Raw genomic sequence first — 27,027 nt, 5'->3', positions numbered from 1 at the left:
GCGCCAGGGGTTGCTGAGGTAGAGGTGGCTCCCCTGCTCCTCCTTCCACCTCTCCGATTCCACCTCCTCCTCGCACCCCGCTGGGAACTCCTCCAGGGGCTGAGATTGGATTCACCGAGCCTGGTGAGAATGACTCAGGAGTGGTTGTCCGAGGGTGTGCCCCTGCGGTTCCTGTCCGAGTAGTGTTCACGCGTGCCCAGTGGTGGCCGATGGGGTCACGGCCCCTCTCCCCACCCCAGGCGCGCGGCGATGGGATATGAACCAGTCACTGCCTTTGTGCTTTCCTCCTCTCTCCGCTGCCCCGGTCAACCAGCGGAGAGTGGGGAACTGCGGGCAGGTCGGCGGAGTTAGATGGCAGCAAAGGTGGGCCGGCTTGGTGTGATAAAGTTCCAACTGGGTCCTTCCGCGAGCCCTGGGTCCATAAGATGTCATCGGCGAGCGCTGGACTTGACCGTCAACTTGGGATTGTTAAGGTAGAACGGGTAACTCTGGTCAGCAGCACTACCACCTGCATCCACTAGAGGCTGCTCTTTCACCACGTCATTTCTTCCTCTCCAACTGTTTCCACAGTATTTTCAGCTGCTCTTCATTTTGTTTTTCTTTTTCCTTTTACTTTTCTTACTCCCCTTTCTACACACTGAAGTTGCTGTTGTTTTATGTTTACTTCTTCTCCTTCTAATTCTTCTTTTCTTTTTTTTGAAAAGTTGGAGTGTGAGATTGCATTCTCGGCTCATCACAGCCTCAACCTTCCTGGGCTCCCGCAGGTGTTCTTGCCATCTCAGCCTTCCAAGTGGCTGAGATTGCAGGAATAGCTTGATTCTGGGATGTCGAAGCTGCAGTGAGCCATGATCACGCCATTGCCCTCCAGCCTGAGTGACAGAGAAAGACCCTGTTTCAGAAAGTAAGAGAGACAGGTTAAAGAAATAACTCCTTGAAATTACTGCAATTAATTGTGATCTAAATTACCTTTTTTATTTTTATATTTTTCACTCTCACTAGTTTGTTTATTATTATTGCTGTTGTTTGTTATTTATTTGTATTATTGTTTATATTATTGTTATTGTTTTTATTAATTAGATATTTAGAGATGGGGTCTTGCTTTATCACCCAGACTGCAGTACAGTGGCATGACCTTGGCTCACCGTAGCCTCAAATTCCCGGGTTCAAGTTCAAGACCAACCTGGGCAATATGGCATAACAACCATGCTTACTAAAGTCTGTCACTGATACCCCCAGGGCCGTTGAATATGGCAGGTGCAATTTCGGAGGCTGAGGCAGGCAGTTGGCTAGAGTTCAGGAGTTCAAGACCAGCCTGGACAACACGCTGCAGTGCATTACCTGACCAAGGCCCAACGCAGCCTCCACCTCCCGAGCCCAAGGGATGCTCCCACCTCAGGCTCCAAAGGAGCTGAAAGTACAGGCGCCTGCCATCATGCCCGGCTAACATTATTATATTTTATTTTATTTTATTTTATTTTATTTTATTTTATTTTATTTTATTTTATTTTATTTAAGTAGAGGCATGGTCTCACTGTATTGTCAGGGCTGGTCTCAAAATGGTGGGTTCAAACAATTCTTCCATGTCAAACTCCCAAAGTGTTGGGATTACAGGTGTAAACCTTGATGCACTTCTCTCTTTTTTATTTCCTTTATTTTTCTTTTTTCTTCCTCTTTCTTTCTTTCATTTTCTTTCTTTTCTTTCTCTTTCTTCTCTCTCTTTTTCTTCCTCCCTTCTTTCTGTCATTTCTTATTCTCTTTTTCTGTTTCTCTGTCTTTCTATTTTCTTTATCTTTCTTCCCTTTACATCTCTGTCTCTTTTTCTTTGCATTTATTTTTCTTCATCTTTTTGTGTGTCTCTTTTCTCAATTCGTTTCCTCCCATCCCTCCGTCTGTCTTTGTTTGGATTCTGGAAGTCTCCTCATTCTGTATACCCCTGTGTATCACAAGCCTCTGAGACTTTCGCTTCGTTGTTTTTCTCCTTGTTTCATAAAATGCATTCATTCTTCTTTTATTTAGGTACTGTATGGATGGTCAAGTGCTGGAAAGAAAAAAAAATGGCCCATAAATTTGTTTGGTTTCACAAGAGACATGGGAGACCAAATAACGCACGATGAGTACTTTTCTAAATATCCTGTTTATTCTCCCAACGGGGCTCATAAAAATACGGATGCATTCAGTGGGTTGAGAGATCTCTGTGCAGTCGTGACCCTGCAATTATATTTGACAAGGGTGGTGATGACAGATGGGTGGCACAGAAGCCTACCCTTCTTTGGCACCAATTGAGCATGGTGACAACAGATTCAAAATGGCCTGTGTCTGAACTTGATGGTCCTGTTTTTCTGCTCTGGTCTTTAGGAATGAGGGGAGCCTTCCCGAGTTCCGCCATTTCCTTGCATTTTTCTTTTTACATATATTCGTTCACTTATTTATTTACTAATTTATTTTAAATAGAGTCTTGTTCTGTAGCCCAGGCTGTGGGGTTTTTTTGGCTGGCTGCAATCTCCACCTCCCTGGTTCCAGCAATTCTCCTGCCACAGCCTCCTGAGTAGCTGGGATTACAGGTGTATGCCACCCTGCTCACCTAACTTTTGTTTTTTTAGTAGAGACAGGGTTTCACCATGTTGCCCAGGCTGACCTTCAGGGATCTGCCTGCCTCAGTCTCCCAAAGTGCTGGGATAACAGGTGTGAGTCACCGCGCCCAGCCTAAATTGCAATTTTTCAAAATAAATGTTTTGTTTTGCTTTTTTTAAAAGTAGGTCATCACCTAGTGACCACTGTTATTGAAAGGCCACTGTTATTGAAAGTGGCCACTGTTATTTAAAGGTGGCACTGAGGGCCGCCTGGCCACTTCACAGAGCCTGGGGCAACTGCTTTCTCTCCTTCCCTTCTGGAGGCCCCTCCCTCTCTCCCTCACTGCCTAGGGAACTTCCATCCTGGTGCGGACCCTGTTGTTCTTTTATCCCTCTAGGTAAATGGTGTCTCCTTCTGTCGCCAAGGCGGTGGCATGGTCTCGGCTGGCTGCAATCTCCACCTCCTTGCTTCCAGCGATTCTCCTGCCTCAGCCCCCCGAGTAGCAGAAATTACAGGTGCGTGCTACCCTATCCAGCTAACCTTTGTTTTTTTAGTAAATACAGGATTTCACCATATTGGCCAGGCTGATCTCACAATCCTGACTTCGTGATCTGCCAGCCTTGACCTCCCGAAGTGCTGGGATGACAGTCATGAGGCACTGCACCTGGCCACCATCATTGGTTTTAACTGGAGAGTCTAGATTCGAGGCATATCTCATTCTATGTCACAGAATGACTTCTTTATCCTGCCGACTCAAGAAAGCTGGGCCCCTTGTGATTCATTTCAAACAGAGAGTCACCTCATGTTTGGAAAACAGATCTGCTCCCAAGTTGAGTGGAGGGATGTGGCGTGTAGGAGGAAGGACTGTTCCTTCTGACTTAATCTGCATGGTGGGGTCTAGGGCTGGAGCTCAGTGTGGATGGATGGCTCCCTCTACCTTGGGTTCCATTGTCCCCACCGTGGAACACCAGCCTTGGCAGATCCTGGCCCTTCCTGGCCCTTAAGATGCTGTCAGAAACTGTATCCCAAGCTTGGATGCCCCGAATGACTGTGGCTCCCACCTCTCTGGAAACATTTGAAATCTATCCTCTACGCATGGCCACCTAAAACCACAGGAGCCCAGGACACTCAGCCGCCATCCACCTCACTGGTTTATGGAGAGAATGCTGAAAGTCTCTTGCTAACTCTCTTGAGTTCTTCAAGGGCATGTAGTCAGGACGTAGTGAGACCAGATGTATTAAGTCAGGCTGGGTGCGGCGACTCAAGCCTGAAACCCCAACACTTTGGGAGGCCAAGGCGGCAGGATCTCTTGAGCCTGGGAGCTCGAGACAAGCCTTGGACAACACAGCCAAAACCTGAGGTGCATGCCTGGGGTCTTAGCTACTCAGGAGGCTGAAGTGGGAGAATCACCTGACCCTGGGGTGGTTGAGGCTGCAGTGAGCCATGATGATGTCACTGCACTCCATCCTGGGCTACAGACAGAGCGAGACCCTGTTGCAAACAGAGAGACAGATAATACCTATATTATGTCCTTCTCACGATAGGATGCAAAAATAACAGAATACAGCAATTAAGATATTTTTACATTTTAAATTTCAAACTATTTATTTATTAATTTTGAGTCCAAATTATGAAGCCAGCTAATTTTTGTATTTTTGAAGAGATGAGGTTTCACCATGTTGCCAAGGCTGGTCTTGATTGCCTGGAATCAAGGAATCCACCCGCTCTCAGGCTCCCAAAGTGCGGGGATTAAAGGCATGAGCTACTGCTCCTGACGGCATTGTTTTTTGTTTGTTTGTTTGTTTTTTACTTTGTTTTTCTTTTCTTTTCTTAATCGCTTGTCTTTCCAGGAGTTTCATGGCAGGGCGCTTGGCTGGCTTGTTTAAATTCATTCTGAATAAGAACTGAGGATGTCAGCTTCTGGCCTCATGGACTCTGGACTGAAGAGTCCCCTTGTCTATCTATCATGAGACTGTACACGTAAGAAGCAAAAAACTAGTAACATTTAAAATAAATAATTTTGTTGTACAGAAATACACGGATGCACCTAAAACACAGAAATGATTCTTTTAAAAGTTGTGTTAGTCCTGGTGGGTGTGGCAGTGATTCTTTTAGGTTTGGAGCTTGACTGAGAGAATTTCCAGTCGGTATTTGGATGGAAGTTCCAGATGATCTGATGGGTGGGGACTTAGGCTGTGTCCCCCCCCCAGGGGCCCTGGTTGATTAGTTATGGGGACTGCCTGCGAGGGTGCTGTGACCCAGTGTACTGTGGGGACTTCCATCCTTCCCCTCCTTTCCCCACTCCGGGTGATGCCAATTCATTGCGGGCTGACACTCTCATTGGCATATGCCACCCTATTCACCTAATGGGCATCACCTAGCAGCCATTGTTACTCTGAAAACCGAGGCCTCAAGGAGGAAGAAAGCTCATGGCACCTGGGCACAGCCCAAGGCAGCTGTGTCTTCTCCACTGCCCCCACCCCCACCTCCAAGTTTCTCCCTCCCTTGTTGCCAAGGGAATTGCCACCCTGATGAGTGGTTCTGATTGTTCTTTGATCAGTTAAAAAAATGAATATACATGCCGGGCACTGTGGCTCATGCCTGTAATCCCAGCACTTTGGGAGGCAGAGGCAGGTGGATCAAGAGATCAGGAGTTCAAGTCCAGCCTGGCCGATGTGGTGAAAACGTATCTCTACTAAAAATACAAAAAATTAGCCAGGCATGGTGGTGTGCGCCTGTAATCCCAGCTACTTGGGAGGCTGAGGCAGGAGAATTGATTGAAACTGTGAGATGAAGCTTGCAGTGAGCTGAGATAGCACCACTACATTCCAGCCTGGGCAACAGAGTGAGACTCCATCTTAAAAAAAAAAAAAAAAGAGGCCAGATGCAGTGGCTGATGCCTGTAATCCTAGCATTTATGGAGTCTGATGCAGGCGAATCACCGGACATTCCTGACGTTGGACGTTCGAGATTAGCCTGACCAACATGGAGAAACCCTGTCTCTACTAAAAATACCAAGTTAGCTGGGCATAGTGGCACTTGCCTGTAATCCCAGCTACTCGGGAGGCCAAGGAAAGGGAATTACTTGAACCCGGGAGACAGAGGTTTCAGTGAGCTAACATTGCACCGTTACTCTCCAGCCTGGGCAACAAGAGCGAAACTCCCTATCCAAAATAATAATAATGATAATAATAATAATAATATAAAAAGTAAGTGTTTCCGGTAAAAAAGGAAAAAAAAATAAAACCAACAGTGACATAAACATACTTCTCTGTCCTTTCAAGGCAGCAATGATGCTACAAACTGATCCACCTGTCTCAGGCTCCCTAATTGCTGAGATTACAGGTGTGAGCCACTGCACCCAGCTATGTATAATTTTACGTGTACTTTCTTTTTTTAATTAAATTAAATTAAGTTTTTGTTGGTTTTGAGACAAAGTCTCACTGTGTCACCCAGGCTGGAGCACAGTGGTGCACTTGTGGCTCACTGCAAACTCTACCTCCCAGGTTCAAGCGATTTTCCTGCCTTAGCCTCCCGAGTAGCAGGGACTATTGGCTGGCATCACTGCACCTGACTAATTTTTGTATTTTTAGTAGAGACAGGGTTTTGCTGTGGTCACCAGGCTGGTCTCAAACTCCTGACCTCAAGTGATCCACCCATCTCAGCCTCTCAAAGTGTGAGAGTTTCTGGGGTGCCAGATGGGTTGGTCTCCCCTGTATGAGACATCCATGTGGAGCCATGGGTGGCCTCTGAGGAGAAATATCTCCTTATTGCCTTCATGTCTTTATGCCCTGAAAGCATAACAGCTCAGAGGCATTCCACAGGTTGGCAAGGGAGATACCTCCTTTGAAGCAGTGGAGTATAACCAAACGTGTTGGCTCCTCCTGAAACCCACTCACACCCATTTCAGTCCTGATAAGTTAAAGATCTTGAGTAGTTTAGACACACGCCTTTGCTCAAGGAAATTCACAAAAAACTGCTGCTACACATCTTATTGAGTGACACTGATTAATCCTCTACCTTATCCCTTTCTACCCCTCCCATCTGCCCTAAGAACAAAGAGCTTGTAAACCAACAAATTCAGCAGAGCTCGAGAGCTCTGGGCTGTGAACAAGCCTCAGATGCTCCGGTCCCCTGGACCCGCCTTTTAAACATTTATTTTTTTCTCTTTACAACTCCTTTGTCTCTGCTGGACTCGTGGTACCTGCTGGCTGGTGTAGGGCTGGTTTCCCCAACACAAAGTGATAAGATTACAGGCATGAGCCACTGCGCCCGGCTATGTGTAATTTCTTAACTCGGCTCATTTCTTGACTAGGCATCATGGGCATTTGGGCCACTTTCTCATGGAACTTACTTGTGCTTCAGGATCTGTTCGGACCCAATCAGGTCCACAGCATTTCTGTGTCATGCTGGAGTGCTGCTGTGCACACCCACTTACGCCCAGTGTGTGATGAGCGGCTCAGCTCACATGGTAACTTCGTGGCCCCATGGTTGGGCATTTGGTTTCTACTAATAGCCAGAGGCTAGCTGGATAGAAAGAATGGTTATCTGCAGATAATGGCAGGGCCTTGCTCTTCCACTTGCTTATTCCACTGTGATTTGGAATAGCTTATGTCTCACATGGATGGTCCTGTTTTTCTGCTCTAGTGTTTAGGAATGAGTCAAGCCTTCCCGTGCTCTGCCACCTCCTTGCATTTTTTTACATTCATCTATTCATTTATTCATGTATTTTTTAGAAACGGGGCCTTCCTGTGTCGCCGAGGCTGGAATGCAGTGGTAGGACCATAGCTTACTGTGACCTTGAACTGCTAGGCTCAAAGCAATATTCCTCTGCCTCAGCCTCCAGAGTAGCTGGGCCTACAGGCATGGGAATGAGCCACAGCACAGCACAATGCCCCGCTAATTATCTTCGATTTTTTAAAAAATGGTTTTCTTGTTTCTTTTCTGAGACAAAATCTCCCTCTGTCACCCAGGCTGGAGTGTAATTGTTCCCAGACCAAACTGAGGGTGGGGCTGCTTATTCTCCCGACCTGATAATGACATACAGATGAACTAAAAAAAGGGAGTTTTTATTTCTGTGACCACTTACAGGGAGACGGCCTGATAATATCACCAGATTGACTCAAAATTACAAATGTGTATAAAGCTTATATACCTTCTAAGCTATCTGCGTAATCTTAACAGTGCATACATTTAAAGGTGGAATCAATTTATTTATTTATTTATTTATTATTTATTATTATTTTTTTTTTTTTTGCGATGGAGTCTTCCTCTGTTGCCCAGGCTGGAGTGCAGTTGTGAGATCTCAGCTCACTGCAACCTCCACCTCCTGAGTTCAAGTGAGTATCTTGCCTCAGCCTCCTGAGGAGCTGGGATTACAGGTGCCCACCACCATGCTCATCTAATTTTTGCGTTTTTCTTAAAGACGGGGTTTTGCCATGTTGACCAGACTGGTTTGGAACTCTTGACCTCAGGTGTTCTTCCCGCCTTGGCCTCCCAAAGTGCTGGGGTTACTGGCTTGGGCCGCCAAGCCCAGACTGCTTCTTTTGCACTAGAAATGGGCTCTCTCATTATCACGGTATAAACGTGTCTATATTGTGGGATATGGTGTGCGTGTGCACGTGCATAGGCACATGTGTTTCTCCATGTTTTCCCGAGCCATGGTGCTTCTTCCCCCGCAAGGGCTGTGGTGGATTAGTTGTTGGGAGCTCCTGAAAGGGCGCCGGGCTGACACTTCCATCCGTTGTCGTCTCGTGTCATCTAGCTGTCACCGTTTTTGAAGTCTAGGAGGCTCACAGGATGCCGTGGCCGCCCGCCCATGGTAAGGGGTGAGTGTGTCTTCTCTCTGCTCCCCTCAGTCCTACCCCAACCCTCAGAGGCCCGCCCTACCTCCATCCGTTCATCCCCTCCATCGTTGCCTAGAAAACCTCTGGAGATTCTGGCTGGGCCAGATTGTTGATCTTCTTCATCAGTTGCTTCCTATTCTTTGTGTGTTTGACCCGCGTGGACTCTTCTGCCTGGGTTTTACAGACGGCAGTTCCACCCTAGGCCTTTTCTTTAGTGGGGACTTTTCTGATTCTCCCCAGATGTTGTGAAAGCAGGTAGATGTCAGGCGTTTGGGACTAAAAGACATTTCTCAGGATTAACTGAATGAGTGTGGAGGAAGCAGCATGCACTTCACACCTTTCAAAGCAGGGATGGCAACACTATGAATTCGGTGTCTTTTCCAGAATCAGCTTGTTTCCTGAGTTGCCCTCCGTGTCCCCCCACCCACCCCAGGCTAGAAAACATTCCAGAGTGAACTACTGTGCCTCCTTCCCTTCCCCGTCCTGTTTTGTCCCCTCCCCCTCACCTCGGTTTCTCTCCTTCATGCCGGCAGCTTTCCTCTTCCTCTCTCCCTCCCTCCTTAGGGAAACTCAAGTACCTTGGCTAAGCCGCCATAGTCAGTTTTTACCGTTAAGTTATGTTTAATATTTGTCTTTCCCCAGCCAGCATATTGGTAAAGTGGAAAGTGCATCATAGCCACCGATCCCCCACCCACCCCGCCCCCCACCGCCCTCGGCTATTTTTTTAGAGTTTTTTAGAGTTTTTTAGAAAAATAGTTTTACTATTTTTTTAGTTTTTTTCATCTATCTTTCTCCTTTCATTTCTTTCTTAAAGTTTATTTCTCCAGTTTTCTTTCTTTCTTTCTTTCCTTTCTTTCTTTCTTTCTTTCTTTCTTTCTTTCTTTCTTTCTTTCTTTTTCTTTCATTCTTCTTCTCTGTCTTTTGTTCTTTTACATTTTCTTCTTTCTTTTTTCTTTCCTCTCTCTGTTTTTTCCGCCTGGCTTTCCTTCATTTATTTCCTCCTTCTTCATCTCTTTCATTTTTCTTCCCTTGCTATGTCTCTTTCTCTTTTTTTTTTTTTTTTTTTTTTTTTTTTTTGACGGAGTCTCTGTCGCCCAGGCTGGAGTGCAGTGGCATGCGTGGTGGGATCTCTACTCACTGCAAGCTCCACCTCCCGGGTTCACGCCATTCTCCTGCTTCAGCCTCCAGGGTAGCTGGGACTACAGGCGCCTGCCATGGCGTCCGGCTAATTTTTTTGTATTTTTAGTAGAGACGGGGTTTCACCTTGTTAGCCAGGATGGTCTCAATCTCCTCACCTTGTGATCCACCCGCCCCTGCCTCCCAAAGTGCTGGGATTACAGGCGTGAGCCACCGCGCCCGGCCTCTCTCTTTCTTTATATTTCTTTGTCTAGATTTTAAAAATCCTCTCTCTCTCTGGTTCTCATTTCCTTCTTTCCGCCCTCCCTCGCTGCTCCCTTCCCTCCCTCCTTGCTTTCCTCCGTCTGTCTCTTTTCTCCATTCCCTCTCTCCCTCCCTTCCTCCGTCTTTGTCTGGATTCTAGAAGACTCTCCTCATTCTGTATCTTACTGTGTCCTAACCGACCTGCAACCAAGTCCCATTTCTTCTTTCTCAGTCCGAGATGCATCTTCAAACTCTCATGCGCCACGGGTTGTCTTTTGACTCAGTCGCAGTCTATGCAGAGACACGTTTGGAGAACGGTTTCTGTGAAGTTGGGGAGGAGGGGCTGCGTTTTCGGCCTCAAAAAGACTTCGACTCATGGTTTGGGTTTCCCAGTCATGGGCTGCCCTGCCATCTGGGACTCTGGCGCGTCACTTGTGAGTCAGAGCTGGCAGTCCAGGGCTTTGCTGGGGGAGGCTGTCGCGGTGCTTCCGTGCCCCAGGGCAGTGTGGGGCTGCCCTGGCTGGTCGAACAGCATGCCACAACTCCTGAGGCTTGGCCCGAGATCCACAAGGACGTATTGGGCATGGCGCTGGTGGCTGGGGATGCCCTTCCCGGCCCAGTGGCAGGCCAGTGCAGGTCTGATGCACCTGCCAAGCCCTAGTCCCTCTGCCCTGATCTTTTTTTTGAAGTCCCCATGCAGAGTTGGAGAGCGGTCCCTGAGCATGCATGTGGTCCAAGAGGTGGCACCTGGCCAGGCTTTGGTCCCTCATGTGATCCAGTCATGCTAGGGGCCAGCCAAAAATAACTCCCAGTCTAGCTCTGGAAAAATGGGCCAGCCCCTGCATTGTACGGGTAACCAGGAGTTTGTCCCTGGCCCAGTGCTGCTCCTGTGTGTGTCCTGGGGTCAACCAGAGGGCCCTGGGTGTTCCGTGTCTGGCTGCCATGGTGGCCTTTTTTTGGGAAAGATGTCCAGGTCACGCGTTTCTGCTCAGGTGGTGTGGTCACTGACTCGACACCCCTCCACCAGGCAAGGTATATCTTTCACTCTGAGTCGACATTTTGGGCCACCAGGTTGTTGCTGACACGCTGCCTGGCAATTACATTGGGCCTCTAGATGCGTGTGAAGCTCTGGTATACTGGTAACCCAGCTAACCGGCCCTGTTCCAGTTTTAGCTGATTGCTGGGACCTGTGTGCCTGCTCTCACGCATCCTAGTGTCATAACTGTCCGTGGTGCCCCAGGTTTCTGGGCCTTTGACCCTGGCAGGGAAGGCAGCTCGGGCTCCCGTGACCAGTGTGCTCCCGGCTGCGGGCACAGGGTGGTCAGAACAACCCCACTCTGTTGGCTCTTCGCTGTGAATGTCAGGCATTCCACCTTAAATTGTCTGCTGTCCCTATCCCGGAGTGAGCCTGGCTGGGCTGTTATGCTCATCAGTTTCTTCAAGACTGACCCCAGCTCAACCACCGCCCATTATTGGGCTTTTCACGATGGATGTGGTGACTTTACGCTCTCCCAGGCTGGGAGTAAGCCACGAGAAGCAAAGGATGGAAATACACAGTTAATGGAAGAGTTCTTCTTCTTCTGCTTGTCGGGCCCCTTGTCTCTCTTCCCCACTCACGGGTAGTGTGTTGGGAGGCATGGGGCAGGGAATTTGCGGTGACCTCGCTGCCCTCACGCCTTGAGCCTCGTGACTTCAAGAAGATTGGTGGGGTCCTCTGACACAGCGGGCACCTTTGCTCTGGCTTCCTGTGGTTGTTGCCTTGCGGGTGGACACTGCACCTCTCCGGGGCCATGGGGCATGTCCCTACCAAACATCATGCTGCCCTTTCTGGGATGCGAGAGGGTTGACACGACCAGGGCCTTTGTGGTGATCCAGGAGTGCTCCAGACTGCCCGAGACAAAATGGTGGCGGGTTGTGCCAACCCCAAGTGGCCTCTCGTATAACCGCCACCACGGTGTTTGCAAGTGCATCCTGAAGAGGTCGTTGAGCGGGGCGAGGCGGATGAGTGAGGCAGGTCCCTCCCACTCGATAAGAGATGCTGCCTCCTCTGTTGAGCGCCAAGTTCCTTGTTTCACTCTGCCAAGTGCGCCCACGACGCAGGAGCGAGTGCGGTAAGATTCTGTGTACTATCGTGTTGTGTCGGCCTCGGAGAGGCCTTTTGCCCCAGAGAGAAAGGTGGATAAACAGCGGGACTTTGGGGGTGAGTGCATGCATGCCAGGCAACGGCCCTGATAGAAAGCACTCAAAATTTTCCAGTCTTTTGGTCATAAGGCAGACCACTATCTTCCCCAGGGGTCCATGAGCGAATCTTCAGGAAGGGGTAACTGGTGGGGAAAGAGTGTGACAAAAACTTGGTGAGAAAGCCTTCGCTGGTAATTCGAAAGGTGAGCCAATGAGGTTCAAGCGATTCTTCTGCCTCCCCCGCCCACCTCCACCGGGTAGCTGGGACTGCAGACGCTCGCCATCATGCCCGGTGTCTTTTCTGGAATCAGCTTGTTTCCTGAGTTGCCCTCCGTGTCGCCCCACTCACCCCAGGCTAGAAAACACTCCAGAGTGAACTACTGTGCCTCCTTCCCTTCCCCCTCCTGTTTTATCCCCTACCCCTCACCAAGGTTTCTCTCCTTCGACGTCCAAATCGTCTGCGTATAATAATGATTCCGTTGATGTGCATAAGCAGAGTTCCCTACTTTTACCATAAATAAGAACAGAAACCGCGGGGGTCGTGCAGTCCCTGGCTTACACCCAGGGTGCGTGTCACCCCCACGAGGGGCACCAGAAAGCGTCAAGAAAACCCCCGAGGGAAAGGAACAGGAGGGACAGCCTTTAAAGGGGAAGATGAGGCAGTCCGGGAAAAAACTTCCCACGGAAAACAGTGCCTGTCCAGCCGACCCTGGGCCGGGATTTGGGAAGTCGTGGAGTCCTTGACTTGCACCCAGGGGGCATGCCGTGCTCATGGGGACACCCCAAAGTGGCAAGAAGGCCTCTGGGGGAAGGGAACAGGACGCCAATCTTAATAGGGGACATTGAGGCAACACGGAAAAAAAAAAAAAAAGGCGGGCCGGGGTCGTTCAACAGATGGCAGTGCCTTCCTGGCAGCCCCTGTGTTGGGGCCGGGGTGGTCGTGGAGTCCCTGTCTTGCACCCAGGGTCCGTGTCAGGCCTATGGGGGGCACTTCAAAGCGGCAAGAAGACCCCCGGGGGACGGGAACAGAGCTCCAGGCTTGAAAGGGGACGTTGAGACAGTACAAGGAAAAACTTCCCATGGCAACAGTGCCTTCCTGGCAGACCCTGCTCCGGGCCAGGCGAGTGGTGGAGCTTCTGCCTTGCACCCAGCTGCGGGTCACGCCCAAGGGGGCATCTCAAAGCAACACGAAAGCCCCTAAAGGAAGGGAACAAGATGCCAGGCTTGAAAGAAGACTTCTGAGGCAGCACAGGGAAAAAGCGGTGGGCAGGGATCCTCCCACGGACGACAGTGTCTTCCCAGCAGCCTCTGCGCCGGAACCGAGGGACCGTGGATACCTGGTGTGCACTCAGGGTGCGTTTCTCGCCCACGGGGATAACCCAAAACGTCAAGAAAGCCCCGGAAGGAAGGGGAGAGCATGTCAGTCTTCGTGAAGGAGGACATTGAGGCAGCCCGAGGAAAAAAGTGGTAAGGCTGGAGTCCTCCCACGGACGATAGTGCCTTTCCTGCAGCCCCCGAGTCAAGTGCCCGGTGGTCGTGGAGTACCTTGCTGCCACCCAGCGGACGTGTCTTGCCCATGGGGGGCACCCCAAAGCGTCAAGAAGGTCCCCAGGGGAAGGGAACAGGACGCAAGGCTTGAAAGGGGACGTTGAGGCAGTCCAGGAAAAAACTTCCCACGGAGGACAGAGCCTTCCCAGCAGCCTCTGTGCCAGAACCAGGGAAGTCGTAGAGTCCCTGGCTTGCATCCAGGGTGCGTGACTCGTCCACAGTTGGGGGGGTGGGGGGGTGCCTCCAAGCGGCAAGTAGGCCATAGGTGGAAAGAAACAGGATGCCAAGCTTGAAAGAGGAAGTTCAGACAGCATGAGGAAAAAAGCGGCGAGCCGTGGGCGTCCCATGGATGACAGTGCCTTTCTCGCAGCCCCTGCATCGGGACGGTGTATGTGTCGGGAGGAGGGTCGTGGAGTCCCTGGCTTGCACCCAGGGTGCGTGTCTCACCCATGGGTAGCACCACAAAGCTGCAAGAAGGACCTCGGGGAAGGGGACAGCACATCAGGCCTGAACGGGAAAGTTGAGGCAGCCTGGGGATAAAAGCAGCGAGGCTGGGGTTGTCCCACAGACGGCAGGGCCTTCCCGGAAGCCCCTGTTCCAGGCCTGCTTGTGTCATTGAGTCCCTGGCTTCGCCGCTTTTTTCCCCGTTGATCTCTCCTTACAAGCCTGGCATCCAACTTCCTTCCCCCGGAGGCCTTCTTTGCCGCTTTGGGGTGCCCCCCGTGGGCGCGACACTCAGCCTGGATGCAAGCCAGGGACTCCACGACTTCCCTGGGTGCAGCGTAGAGGCTGGGGTCTTCCCATGAACAACAGTGCCTTCCCGGCAGCGCGTGCACCTGGCCCGGGAAAATGGTGGAGTCCCTGGCTTGCACCCAGGGTGCGTGTCTCGCCCACTGGGGCTCCCCAAAGCGACAAGAAGGCCCCCGGGGCGGGGGGAAAGGGACAGCACATCAAGCTTGAAGGGGGACGTTGAGTTAGTCCGAGGAAAGAAGCGGCGAGGCTGGGGTCCTACCATGAACGACAGTGCCTTACTTAACATCAGCCCCTGCGCCGGGACCGGGTGGTCGCGGAGTCCCAGGCTTGCACCCAGGATGGGTGTCTGGCCGAAGAGGGACACCCCAAAGCGGCCAGAAGGCCCACGGGGAAGGAAACAGGATGCCAGGCCTGTAAGGCGACGTTGAGGCACGCTGGGGAAAAACTTCCCGCGCACTACAGTGCCTTTTCAGTAGCCCCCCCAACACCGCGCCAGGGGAAGTCGTGAAGTCCCTGGCTTGCACCCAGGGTGCGTGTCGCATCTAGTGGGGACACGCCAAAGCGGCAAGTAGGCCTGCGGGAAAACGAAACAGGACGCCAGGCTTGAAAGGGGACGTTGAGGAAGCACGAGGGAAAAAGCAGCAGGCCGGTTTACTCCCACAGACAACCGTGCGTTTCCCCAGCCCGTGTGCCTGGCCCGGGACGGTCATGGAGTTCCTAGCTTGCACCCAGGGTGAGTGTCGCACCCACGGGGGAACCCCAAAGTGGCAAGAATGCTTGTGGGGGAAGGGAACATGATGCCAGGCTTGAAAGGGGACATTGAGGCAGCACGGGGAAAAAAGCGGTGGGCCGCAGTCCTCCCACCGATGACAGTCCCTTCCCGGCAGACCCTGCGCCGGGCTTGGGGTGGTCGTGGAGTCCCTGGCTTGCAGCTAATGTGCGTGTTGCGCCCACGCTGGGCGCCCCAAAGTGGCAAGAAGGCCTCCAGTGAAACGAAAGGGGACGTTGAGGCAGTACCGGGAAAAACTTTCCACGGAGGACTGTGCCTTCATGGCAGCCTCTGCATCACGCCCGGAGAAGTCGTGTAGTCCCTGGCTTGCACCCAGGGTATGTGTCGTGCCCACGGGGGAGGCACCCCAAAGCGGCAAGAAAACCTCTGAAAGAATGGAACAGGACGCCAGGCTTGAAACCGGACGATGAGGCAGCACGGGGAAAAAAGCGGCGGGTCAGAGTCACCGCACGGTTGACAGTGCCTTCCCGGTCTCCGCTGCGCCGAAACATGGGGGTGGGGGACGTGGAGTCCCTAGCTCGCACCCAGGCTGCGTGTCGCGCCCACGCGGAGCACCCTAAAGCGGCAAAAAGGCCCGCGGGAGAAGGGGACAGCATGTCAGGCTTGAAGGATACGTTCACGCAGCCTGGGGAAAACAGCGGCGAGGCTAGGGTAGTCCCACAGACGACAGTGTCTTCCCAGCAGCCCCTGCGCTGAACCCGTGTGTGTTGTTGAGTCCCTGGCTTGCACCTAGAGTGCGCTTCTCTTCCACGGGAGGCACCCCAGAGGCAAGAAGGACTTTAGGGGAAGGAAACATGACGCCAGGCTTGAAATGGAACGTTGAGGCGGCACGGAGAAAAACGCGGGTGGCCGGGGTCCTCCCACGGACGATAGTGCCTTCCCGGCAGTCGTGCCTTCCCGGCAGCCCCTACGCTGGGCCCGGGGGAGTCGTGGAGTCCTTGTCTTGCACACAGGATACGCTTCTTCCCCATGGGGGGCACCCCAAAGCGGAAAGAAGGCCCCCCGGGAAAGGGAACAGGCAGCTAGGCTTTAAATGAGACATTGAGGCTGCCCTGGAGGAAAAGCGGCTGGCCGGGGTCATCCCATGGATGACATTGCGTTCCTGGCAGCCCCTGCGCCTGGCCCCGGGGAATCGTGGAGTCCCTCACTTGCACCCAGCGTGCGTGTCGCGCTTAGACATGGGGTGCCCCCATGGGCGCGACCAGCACCCTCGGTACAAGCCAGGGACTCCAAGACCACCCCGGCCCAACATAGGGGCTGCCGGCAAGGCACTGTCTGCCCTCAGACGACCCTAGTCCGCGGCGTTTTTCCCCGGACTGACTCGGCTATCCCTTTCAACCCTGGCGTCCCATATCCTTCCCACGGTGGCCTTCTTGCCGCTTTGTGGTGCCCCCTGTGGGCGAGACAGGCACCTTGCGTGCAAGCCAGGGACTCCACGATATTCCCAGACCCACCGCAGAGGCTGCCTGGAAGACCGTGTTATCCATGGCAGAACCCCAGCATCCCCTCTTTATTCCCCAGGCTGCCTCAACGTCCACCTTCGAACCTGACGTGCTGTCTCCTTCCCCTGAGAAGCTACTCGCTGCTTTGGGGTGCCCCCCATGGGCCCCTGGGTGTAAGACTGGGACTCAACAACCCCTCCGTGTCCGGCAAAGGGGTTGCACCCCAAAGTCGCAAGTAGGCCTCCGGGGGAACGGAACAGGAAGACAGGCTTTAATGGGGACGCTGAGGCAGCACGGAGAGAAAAGAGGCTAGCCGGGTTCCTCCCATGGATGACAGTGCCTTCCTGGCAGCCCATGCGTAGGGCCCTGGGGGAGCGTGGAGTCCCTGTCTTGCACCCAGGATGCGTGTCTCGCCCACGGGAGGCACCCCAAAGCTTCAAACAGGCCCCCAGGGGAAGGGGACAGCACGTCAGACTTGAAGGGGGACGTTGAGGTAGCCTAGGGTAAAAAACCGTGACGCTGGTTCTCCCACGGACGACAGTGCCTTCCTGGCTGCCCATTCGCTGGGCCGGGGAGGTCTTGGCGTCCCTGGCTTGCATCCCGGGTGTGTGTCTCGCCCAGGGGTGGCACCACAAAGCATCAAGGAGGCCCCGGGGGAAGGGTACCAGACGCCAGGGTTGAAAAGTTTAGTTGAGGCAGTCCCGGAAAAAAGCGGCGGTCCAGTGTCCACCCAAGGACAACCGTGTCTGCCCAGCAGCCCCTGCACCGGGCCCGGGGTGGTCGTGGAGTCCCTGGCCTACACCTGGGGTGCGTGTCGCGCCCACAGTGAGCACCCCAAAGCAGTAAAAGTCCCCCAGTGGAAGGCAACAGGAAATCAGCCTTGAACGGGGACCTTTAGGTAGCCCAGAGAAAAAAGCGGCGAGGCTGAGGTGATCCCAGGGATAACAGTGCCTTCCCGACAGCCCTGCGCCGGTCCTGGCGGTGTCGTAGAGTCCCTGGCTTGTACTCAAGAGTGTGCATCTCGCCCTCAGGAGGCACCCCAAAGAGGCAAGAAGGTCCCCGGGGGAAGGGGACAGGATGTTAGGCTTAAAAGGGGACTTTGAGGCAATCCAGGGAAATAAGCAGTAAGCCAGGGTCCTTCGAACGACAGTGCCTTCGCGGCAGCCTCTCGCCCTGCCCAGTGGGGTTCTGGAGTCGCTGGCTTGCACCCAGGTTGCGTGTCGCTTCCACGGGAAGCACCCCAAAGCACCAAGAAGGCCTCTGTTGGAAGGGAAGAGGGCGCCAGGCCTGAAACGGAACGTTGAGGTAGCACGGGGAAAAAAGCAGCGGGCCGCGGACGTCCCACAGACGACAGTGCCTTTCCGGCAGTCCCTGCACCAGGCCCGGGGTCGTCGTGGAGTCCCTGGCTGCACCCAGGGTGCATGTCGCACTCACGGGGGACACCTCAAAGCCTCAAGAAGGCCTCCGGGGGAAGGAAACGGGACGCCGGGCTTGAAAGGGGACGTTGAGGCAGTCCGGGGTAAAAACTTCCCACGGATGACAGTGCCTTTCTGGCAGCCCCTTTGCCCTGCATGGGGATGGTTGTTGATTCCCTGGTTTGCACCCAGGGTGAGTGTCTCCCCCATGGGGGGCACCCCAAAGCGAAAAGAATGTTCCCCGGGGAAGGGTACAGCACGTCAGGCTTGAAGGGGGACGTTCAGGCAGCCCCGGGGAAAAAAGCGGGGATACTGGGGTCCGCTCATGGACGACATTGCCTTCCCGGCAGCCTCTGCGGTGGGCCCAGGAGCTGCGTGGAGTCCCTGGCTTGCACCCAGCTTGCATGTCTCACCCACGGGGCGCACCACAAAGAGGCAAGAAGGCCACCGGGGGAAGGGCACAGGACATCAGGGTTGAAAGGCATAGTTGAAGCAGTACGGGAAAAAAAGAGGAGGGATGGTGTCTTCCCACGCACGACAGAGCCTTCCCGGCAACCCCTGCGCTGGGCCCGGAGGGATCGTGTAGTCCCTGGCTTGCACCCATGGTGCGTGTCGTTCCCACAGGGGCACCCCAAAGTGGTAAGAAGGCCTCCCAGGGAAGGGAACAAGACGCCAGGCTTTAAAGAGGACGCTGAGGCAGCACGGCGAAAAATGCGGCCAGCCGGTTTCCTCCCATGATGGCAATTCCTTCCCGGCAGTCCCTGGCTTCCTCCCAGGGTGCGTGTCTCTCCCACTAAGTGCACCCCAAAGCGGCAAGTAGTCCCCTGGGGGAAGGGGACAGCACTTCAGGCTTCAAGGGGGACATTGAGGCAGCCCGGGGAAAACAACCTCGAGGCTGGGATTCTCCCACGGACGACAGTGCCTTCCTGGCGGCCCCTGCGCCGGGCCGAGGGTTTCATGGAGTCCCTGGCTTGCACCCAGGGTAAGAGTCTCGCCCACGGGGGCCACCCCAAGGCAGCATGAATACCTGCGGGGGAAGGGAACAGGAGGCCAGGCTTGAAAGGAGACGTTGAGGCAGTCGGGAGGGAAAACAATCCCATGGAGAACAGTGCCTTCCCGGCAGTGTCTGTGCCGGACTCGGGGTGGTCGTGGAGTCCCTGGCTTGCACCCAGGGGGCGTGTCTTTCAAGCGGGGTACTTTTCCCCAGGGGAATTGTTGTTGCTATGGGGTGCCCCCTGAGGGCGAGACACACAACCTTTGTGCAAGACAGGGACTCCAGGGCCCCCCAGCCCGCCGCAGGGGCTGCCCGGAATGCACTGTCTTCCCTGAGAAGTTTTTCCACGGACTGCCTCAACGTCCCCTTTAAAGCCAGCTCCCATCCCCCGCTGCCTTCTTGACACTTTAGGGTGCCCCCGTGGGTGAGACAGGCACCCTGGGTGCAAGCCAGGGAATCCTTGCCTGAGGCCTGGGTGTCTCTCGTGTCCTCACAACAGGAGTTTACACGAAGTTGGTGGCCATGGGAATCCGGGTTCACAAGGATGTTTCCCTGGTAGCTGGCAAAGGCAATGTTCTTCCCTGGAAAAAGCAGCCCGTGCGTTCTGGAGGAGGTCTTGGCTGGCGTCTGTGGGACCCTCTGCCCCTGCCCACCCCTTCCCCAGCCTCGGGCGTTTGCGGCGGCGCCAGATGAGTGAATTAAATTACCTAGGCCTTCCTGGAGCAGGAAGACAACCAGCATGGCAGGGAACCTGGGCCTGCGCCTTTGGGGTCTGGTGCTGGCCTGCCCCGCCCTGCCTAGAGCTGGGGACCTTGTGGAGCTGCAGCAAGGCAGAAGAGGTGGGATGCTGCTGCCCGGCGGTGTACGAGGAGGTCCTGGTGTGCGGTGGGGACGCAGGCAGGTGGAAAATGGGTAGCAGAGTCAGGGAGTGGTTGGGAAGTAGGGCACAAAAGGGAGAAAGAGGGAGCGGGAAGCCAAAAGCCTACAGCACCTTGTATTCCCAGGCGGTCTCTCTTCCAAGTACTGAACCAGGCCCCACCCTGCTTAGCGTCACAGGCCAGAGATCAGGTGTCTCAGGGCGGTAAGGCCTTAGACACCCGCAGTGATACCTGGCTGACACAAGAGCCTGGCCCACCATGCCCGCCAGACTCCAGGCATTACCGCCACTCCAAAGCCACGCGGCTTGGATCGGGACAACTCTAAGCCACTCCTCGCCTGCTGCTCGGCTGCTCTCCCCCTCCACGCCGGAGCACTGTGGGCCACCGCGCTGCACCTTCTGCCGGCTTCCAAGGGGCTCCAGCCATAGCAGACAAGGCCATGCACTGGACCATCTCGGCGCCGCCCTGCTGCTGAGTGAGGACGCCAGAGGTGTCCATCCGCTGCACAGACTTCGGGCTCTCTGGTTGGTCTCCATTCCTCCGACGCTTCAGGGCTTCCCCAGGCTCATGAACTCCCAAGCTTCCACCACATCGGGCTTGCTGAGCTTGTGCTCCCAGGAGTCAGGGATACCCTTCTGTCCTCCTTGCCACGGAGGGATTGTTTTGGTTCCCTCGCCGCCCCTCCTGCAAGGCCCCCTCTCTCCTCACCCACCCAGTGCTGCCAGGGCTGCTCAAGGGTGAACAGGTGGCCTAGCCCCATGGGCCCTTTCTCTTACAACGTCCCTAACAGGGTCGCTTGTCCGGACAAGGACATGGCCCATGGCCAAGTGAGTGGGGGGAGCTGCTTTGCCCCGCGCTGCCACTGGAGCTAGCCGACTGATTGCGGGAGAGAGAGGCTGATGGACAGCCAGACACACCTCACCAGCACCAAGAAGAAACCCACCCCCACCCCCACAGACACACATGGATGCACGCTCGCGGGCACACAGAGACACACACAGATACACAAAGATACAGATAGACAGCTTGAAGGAGATCAAGGGAAAGAGGGATGGAGAGATAGAAACTGAGGGAGAGAGAGCTAGAGAGAGAGAGAGAGACAGGAATGAGAGGGAGAAAGAAAGAGAGAGAAGGTGACAGAAAGAGCATGAGATGGAGGGAGCAGGAGAGAAATAGAGAGAGGGTGACAGAACTAGAGAGCCAGAGCATTAAAGCCTGGGAGAGGGAGCTCTCTGCTCTCGTAGACAGGGCTCCTTCCAGCAGGGGTAGGGTGGAGGGTGCTTGAGCCTGGCGGGAACAGGTGGGCAGGCCGCCCATGCAAGAGGACCAACAGAACCCTGAGACGTATTTTTGCTTGGATTGGTTGCTTGCTTTTGGGGTGCGTTTCATAGGGTCCTTTTGTTGGCTACTCCCTATCTTCTTGGTGCAGTGGGCACCGAGATTTGGAGAGTGCGTCCTTCCCTCTGGTGGGAGCCCTGGCGCAGAGCGTGCCGACCGGGCCGAGGCCTGGGTCTCTCTCGTGTCCTCAGGACTGGAGTTGACACGAAGACGGTGCCAATGGGAATCCGGGTGCACAGAGACGGATTGCCTCGTGACTGGCGAAGGCAATGTCCTTCCCCTGGGGAAAGCAGCCCATAGGTCCAGGAGCAGAGGTTTTGGATGGTGTCTGTGGGACCTCTGTCCCTGGCCGCCACTTCCCCCACCGGCTTGAACTATTGCATGGTGCCAGATGAGTAAATTGAATTGCCTGGGCGTCCCGGGAGCGTGAAGACACGGGTCACCTCAGGGAACATATACCGTCCTGCCACGGCTGGAGCCGGGCACCTGGTGGGGCTGCAGCAAGAAGGAGGATGTGGGATGCTGTTGCCTGGCGGTGCTGCAGCGGTGGAACCCCACGAGGAGGTCCCGGGTTGCTTTGGGGCCGCAGGTGAGAGGAAAAGTGGGAGCAGAGTTAGGGGAAGTTTGTGAAGCATGGCGACAAAAGGGGGAAAGAGGGAGGGAGGGGGAGGACAAAAGCCTACAGCACCCAACATTCCTGGGCGTCCTCCCATCCAGGTACTAACCAGGACCCACCCTACTTAGCTTCCGAGGTCAGACGAGACTGGACAGGGTGATATGGCTGTAGGCGCTGGCAGAGGGGCCTGGATGCCTCAAGAGCCCGGCACAGCCACGCCCCGCTCGACTCCAGGCGTCATTGCCACCCCGGGGCTGCTGGGCTTGGATCCAGGATCCCCAAGCGCTCGCCAGTGGCAGGGCTGCTCTCCTCTTCTATTTTTCTGAGCACTGCTGGCCACCCCTCTGTGCCTTCCTCTGGCCTCCTAGAGCCTCCTGCCGTCGCCGGTGGCCTGGCCTCCCGCAGGACGGCCAAGGCGCCGTGCTGCTCCTGCTCGGGGGAGCCAGAGGTCTCCGTCCCATGCCCAGTCTTTGGGCTGTCCGGGCGGCCCCCTTCTGCTCACGCTCCAGGCCTTCACCCGGCTCCCGAGCTTCCATCACAACAGGCCCCTCAGGACGGGTGTGCTCATCCCTTCACTTTTTGCCTTTTTGTTTTTTCTATTTATATTTTTTTGTACTATGTTTTGAAACGTTCCTTTTTATTTTGTTTTTGTTTTTTGTTTTCTGTTTTTTGTTTTTTGTTTTTTTTGAGACGGAGTCTTGCTCTCTTGCCCAGGCTGGAGTGCAATGGCTCGATCTCGGCTCACTGCAAGCTCCGCCTACCTGGTTCACACCATTCTCCTGCCTCAGTCTCCCGAGTAGCTGGGACTACAGGCGCCCAGCACCAGGCCCGGCTAATTTTTTGTATTTTTAGTAGAAAAGGGGTTTCATCTTGTTAGCCAGGACGATCTCGATCTCCTGACCTCGTGATTCCCCCGCCTTGGCCTCCCAAAGTTCTGGAATTACAGGCGTGAGCCACTGCACCCGGCTGAAACGTTCTTGTAGTTATTACTTTTGTTTGGTTTATTATTCAGTCTTCCTACTTAGAATGAGTAGTTTACACACCACAGCTATAGTGTTATAATATTGTTTTATTTTGTATAGTTACCATTATCAATGAGGATTTTTTTTTTTTTTTTTTTTTTTTTTTTTTTTTACCTTCAGTTGATTATTTCTTGCTCATTAATGTCCTTTTCTTCCTGATTGAAGTACTCCCTTCAGCATTCCTTGTAGGACAGTCATGGTATTGATGAAATCCTTCAACTTTTGTTTGTCTGGAAAAGTCAGTATTTCTTCTTATTATTTGAAGGACATTTTCGCTGTATATGCTATTCTAAGGTAAAGCTATTTTCTTTAGTGCTTTAAATATTTATTGCTTCTTTCTCCTGGCCGGCAGGGTTTCCTCTGTAAAGTCTGCTGCCTGATGTGTTGGAGCTCTCCTGTATATTATTTCTTTCTTTTGTCTTTCTTTTTTAGAACTTTTCTTTTTCTTTGACTTTTTGAAAACTGGCTATGGAATGTTTTGAAGTAGTCTTTTTAGAATTTAATCTGTTTAATGTTCTATAATATTTCTGTGATTGGATTTGGATATCTTTCTCTAGGTTTGGAAGTTTTCTATTATTATCCCTTTGAATAAATTTTCCTATCCCTGTCTCTTTCTATACGTCTTCTTTAAAACCAATAACTCTTAGGCCTATCTTTGTGAGGCTATTTTCCAGATCTTGTAGGCATTATTTGTTGTTTTTATTCTTTTTCTTTTGTCTCTTCTAAATATATATTTTCACATAGCCTGTCTTCAAGTTCACCATTTCTTCTGCTGGATCCATTCTGCTGTTAAATGGCTTTAATGCATTCTTCAGCATGCCAGTTGCATTTTCCAGCTCCTGAATTTTTGCTTAATTTGTTGTAACTATTTCAATCTCTTTGTTGAGTTTAGCTGATAAAATTTGGAATTTCTTTACTTTGTTATCTTAGATTTCTGTGAGTTTTTAAAAATACAGCTATTTTGAATTTTCTGTCTGAAAGATTACATATCTCTTTTTCTCCAGGATTTGTCGCTGATGCCTTACTTCATTCACTTTGTGAGGTCATGTTTTCCTGGATGGTGACAATGCTAGCAGATGTTCTTCAGTGTCTGGACATTAAAACTTTGGCATGCAGCACCACATAAGATGTGAAAAAAAGATTTTTTTTAAAAAAAAGATGAGCATTAATTGTAGACTTCACTGTGTGGGGTTATTCGTAGCTATCTTTCTTGGGAAGGATTTCCACATATTTGAAAAGGCAGGTGTTGTGATCTAAGCCATATCTGCTTTAGGGGGCACCGTATACCCAATAGTGCTGTAATTTTTGCAGTCTCATTGATGTACCACCTTGACAGTCTTGGACAATATCCAGGAAAATTTTCTGGATTAGTAGCCAGAGACTCTTGTTCTCTAACCTTATTTTCCCTCAAAGATACAGAGTCTTTCTCTCTATTCTAAGCCACCTAAAGTTGGGAGGAGAATGACACGAGCACCCCTGGCCGCCACCACTGGCTGCCCTGGGTCAGACCTGAAGCTGGCATAGCACCGGGTCTTGCTCAAGTCCTGCTGCACGCACTTTCTGACAACTGTCTATGTTCACTCAAGGCCTTTGGTCTCTGCAATTAGCAGGTGGCAAAGCCAGCCATATCTGTGCTCTTTCCTTCAGGGCAGCGAGTTTCCTCAGTCCCTGGCTGGGTCCAGAAGTGCCATTCGGAAGTCAGGGAGTAAAGTCAAAAATTTCAGAAGTCCACCGGACATTCTATTGCATTCCAGCTGAGCTGGCATTCAAACCACAAGACACAGCCCTTCCTATTACCTCCTTTCCTTTTCCAAAGGCAGAGTAGCCCCAAGCACCCCAGGCCACAAGGAGTACTGCCATGTTACCACCTTTGTTCCTTTAAGGCCCAAATCCTCTTTTCCGCTTGTGATGAATATTGCCTGGACTGGGACTTGCCGTTTTCAGGCCACTGGTCTCCCCACTGGCCCTGGGCAGGTTCATATATGCCAACCAAGAATCAAGTCCTAGAATCAGGGATCCCAAAACCTTTCTTGGTGCTCTACCCACCTCTGGCCTTGCCGGTACTTAAGTGGCATGAAAAAGTCCCCTTTACTTTTCCCTCTGCCTTTCCCAAGCAAAAGGAGTTTTGCCCCTTAGATACCACAGCTTGTAATGTGCTGAATCTCACCTAAATCTAGTAAGTCTATGAGGCTCACACAAGCCTCTTGATGTAGTATCTGGGTATGGCTGCTGGTTATTCAGGGCCCAAAGGTTGTTAAGTTTGCAGGTGATAAATGCTGCCAGCACTGGGTTCTTTCCTTCAAGGCAGCAGGTTTCCTTCTGGCCCGGGGTGTGTCTTGGAATGTCTAGGAGCCAGAGCCTGGAAAGGAGGACTCAGGACTCTGACCAGTGCACTATCTTGCTGTGGTTGAGCTGGTATCCAGGATGGAAGACAAAGTCCTCCCTACTCTTTTTCCTCCTCTCCTCAAGCAGAAGGATGGGGTCCCTTTTGGAGCTATAAGCTGTGCAGCCTGGTATTAGGAGAGTGATAATTCCAGAACCCCTTTGGCTGCCCCAGCTGGTGTCTCAGTATGTTGCATGACCTCCCACCTTAGTTGACTGTTCCTGGGTCCAGTTCAGCCCTAGGCCTCACCTAAGAGTTGCAGTCCTGATGGCCTAGGCTGCCTTTCAAGTTTTCTTAGATACATGGAGCTCTGGAGCCCTCAGTACCCAGATTTCCAAATGCTCAAGTTCCAACCACCGAAATCTCATTCCCCTCTGGCCAGGGCTGGTTTAAATAATCCCTCTGTGGATGGGCTTTAGCTGCATTTGGTTTGGTTTTCCTTTCTGGTCTAACAGGGCAGCACAGAGTTCAATGTCTTAAAATTTCTGTGTTCTCCCTCCTGCAGAACCCAGAGTTGATCTCTGCACCACGCCATCACTGCTGGTGGTGAGGAAATGGTGCCTCTTTCAGTGATATGAAGTTAAAACCAGGTACTTTGAGTACTCAACTGATTTTTGGTTCTTATGAATGTATTTTCTATGTAGACGTTAATAGTTGTGCATCTGGTGTCCTTGCAGGAGGGAAGATCAGTGGAGCCTTCTTTCTGCCATCTTGTGTTACCTTTGCAGCCAAGAATCAGAATGAAGAACTTTCAATAAGAAAAGCTTTCAGAACCAGGAAGGACGTAGAAGATGTCCTGGTTCTGTACGTTTAACATTGGACTGTTTCTTCAACTTAGGTGCATAACAGTGACTAATCAGGGATTATCATAGATAATTTGACTTGGAATATAGAGTTCATTCAAATACTTTATCTAGACAATTTAAGTACTGGCTGATTTGGCATGAAAATCTGACAAACTATTTTCTTGGTATTCAATTGATTTTTACTCTGTTTGCTGTAGTAGTTTTATAAACCAATCAGTCTTCATTAAAGTTCTGGGAATTCTTACCCTGTTCAAATGATATGATTCTAACGTTGTCAAAAATCTGTATTCAAGAATACTTCTCAGGACCTTTTCCATCCTTTCATGAAACTCCTTAAAGATACAGTATTCTATAATTTTGCAAGCTTGTAAAGTTTTCAGAATTTGAAATGCCTCACAATTAAGCAATTTACTGTAGAAATGATTTTAAATTTTCATAGACACAGTTGACAAGAAAATTTTATTATTTACAGGAGTGACCCACCACACCAGGCCTCTGAAGTTCATTTAATAAAATTTTATAAATAAATTTATCAAATGTGTCATCTTTGAATCCCAGATTTTTGTGAGCCTATGCTTTAGATTTTCCCCCAACTTTCTCTATTTATCTAGTTGTATCTATTTTTTACTTCTTCAATTTGAAACCTTAAGTAACTTAAAAAAATTAAAACACATTTTTTGCCTTTATAAGTTTTCTAATCAAAAGTTTATCTTCACAAGTCTGTAATCCCAGCACTTTGGGAGGCCAAGACAGGTGCATCAGTTGAGGTCTAGGGATTGAGACCAGCCTGGCCAACATGGTGAAACCCTGTCTGTACTAAAAATACAAAAATTAGCCCAGTGTGGTGGTGAGCACCTGTAATCCTAGCTACTTGGGAGGCTGAGGCAGGTGAATCGCTTGAACCCAGGAGGCAGAGTTTGCAGTGAGCTGAGATCATGCCACTGCATGCCAGCCTGGGCAACAGAACAGGACTCGGTCTAAAATAATAATAATAATAACAATAAAGAATCATATCTTGCTTTTTCATACAGTCTGATTACAGAATTGTTTCTCTCATATCTAGT

At 51.9% G+C, this 27,027-nt stretch overlaps 2 long non-coding RNA genes and 2 pseudogenes across 2 annotated transcripts; 2 read left to right on the top strand and 2 right to left on the bottom strand.

The window, feature by feature from the left end:
• The first annotated feature begins 336 nt into the window (after nt 1-336).
• Nucleotides 337-4,628, top strand: FAM224B (family with sequence similarity 224 member B). Its single transcript, NR_002160.1, has 3 exons — nt 337-473; nt 2,969-3,086; nt 4,422-4,628. It is a non-coding gene; the product is annotated as a family with sequence similarity 224 member B (long non-coding RNA).
• Nucleotides 4,629-16,383: 11,755 nt separating this feature from the next.
• On the top strand, nt 16,384-25,645 carry LOC105377217 (uncharacterized). Its single transcript, XR_001756062.2, has 3 exons — nt 16,384-21,725; nt 22,940-23,068; nt 23,779-25,645. It is a non-coding gene; the product is annotated as an uncharacterized LOC105377217 (long non-coding RNA).
• Nucleotides 19,900-20,015, bottom strand: RNA5SP521 (RNA, 5S ribosomal pseudogene 521; annotated as a pseudogene).
• RNA5SP520 (RNA, 5S ribosomal pseudogene 520) lies at nt 21,813-21,925 on the bottom strand (annotated as a pseudogene).
• Nucleotides 25,646-27,027: the final 1,382 nt, after the last annotated feature.

The sequence above is a fragment of the Homo sapiens genome, chromosome Y, assembly GCF_000001405.40.
Source record: "Homo sapiens chromosome Y, GRCh38.p14 Primary Assembly".
Classification (NCBI taxonomy): Eukaryota; Metazoa; Chordata; class Mammalia; order Primates; family Hominidae; genus Homo; species Homo sapiens.
The sequence above is the reverse complement of the archived record's forward strand: the minus strand, read 5'-3'. Positions and strand labels throughout refer to the sequence as shown.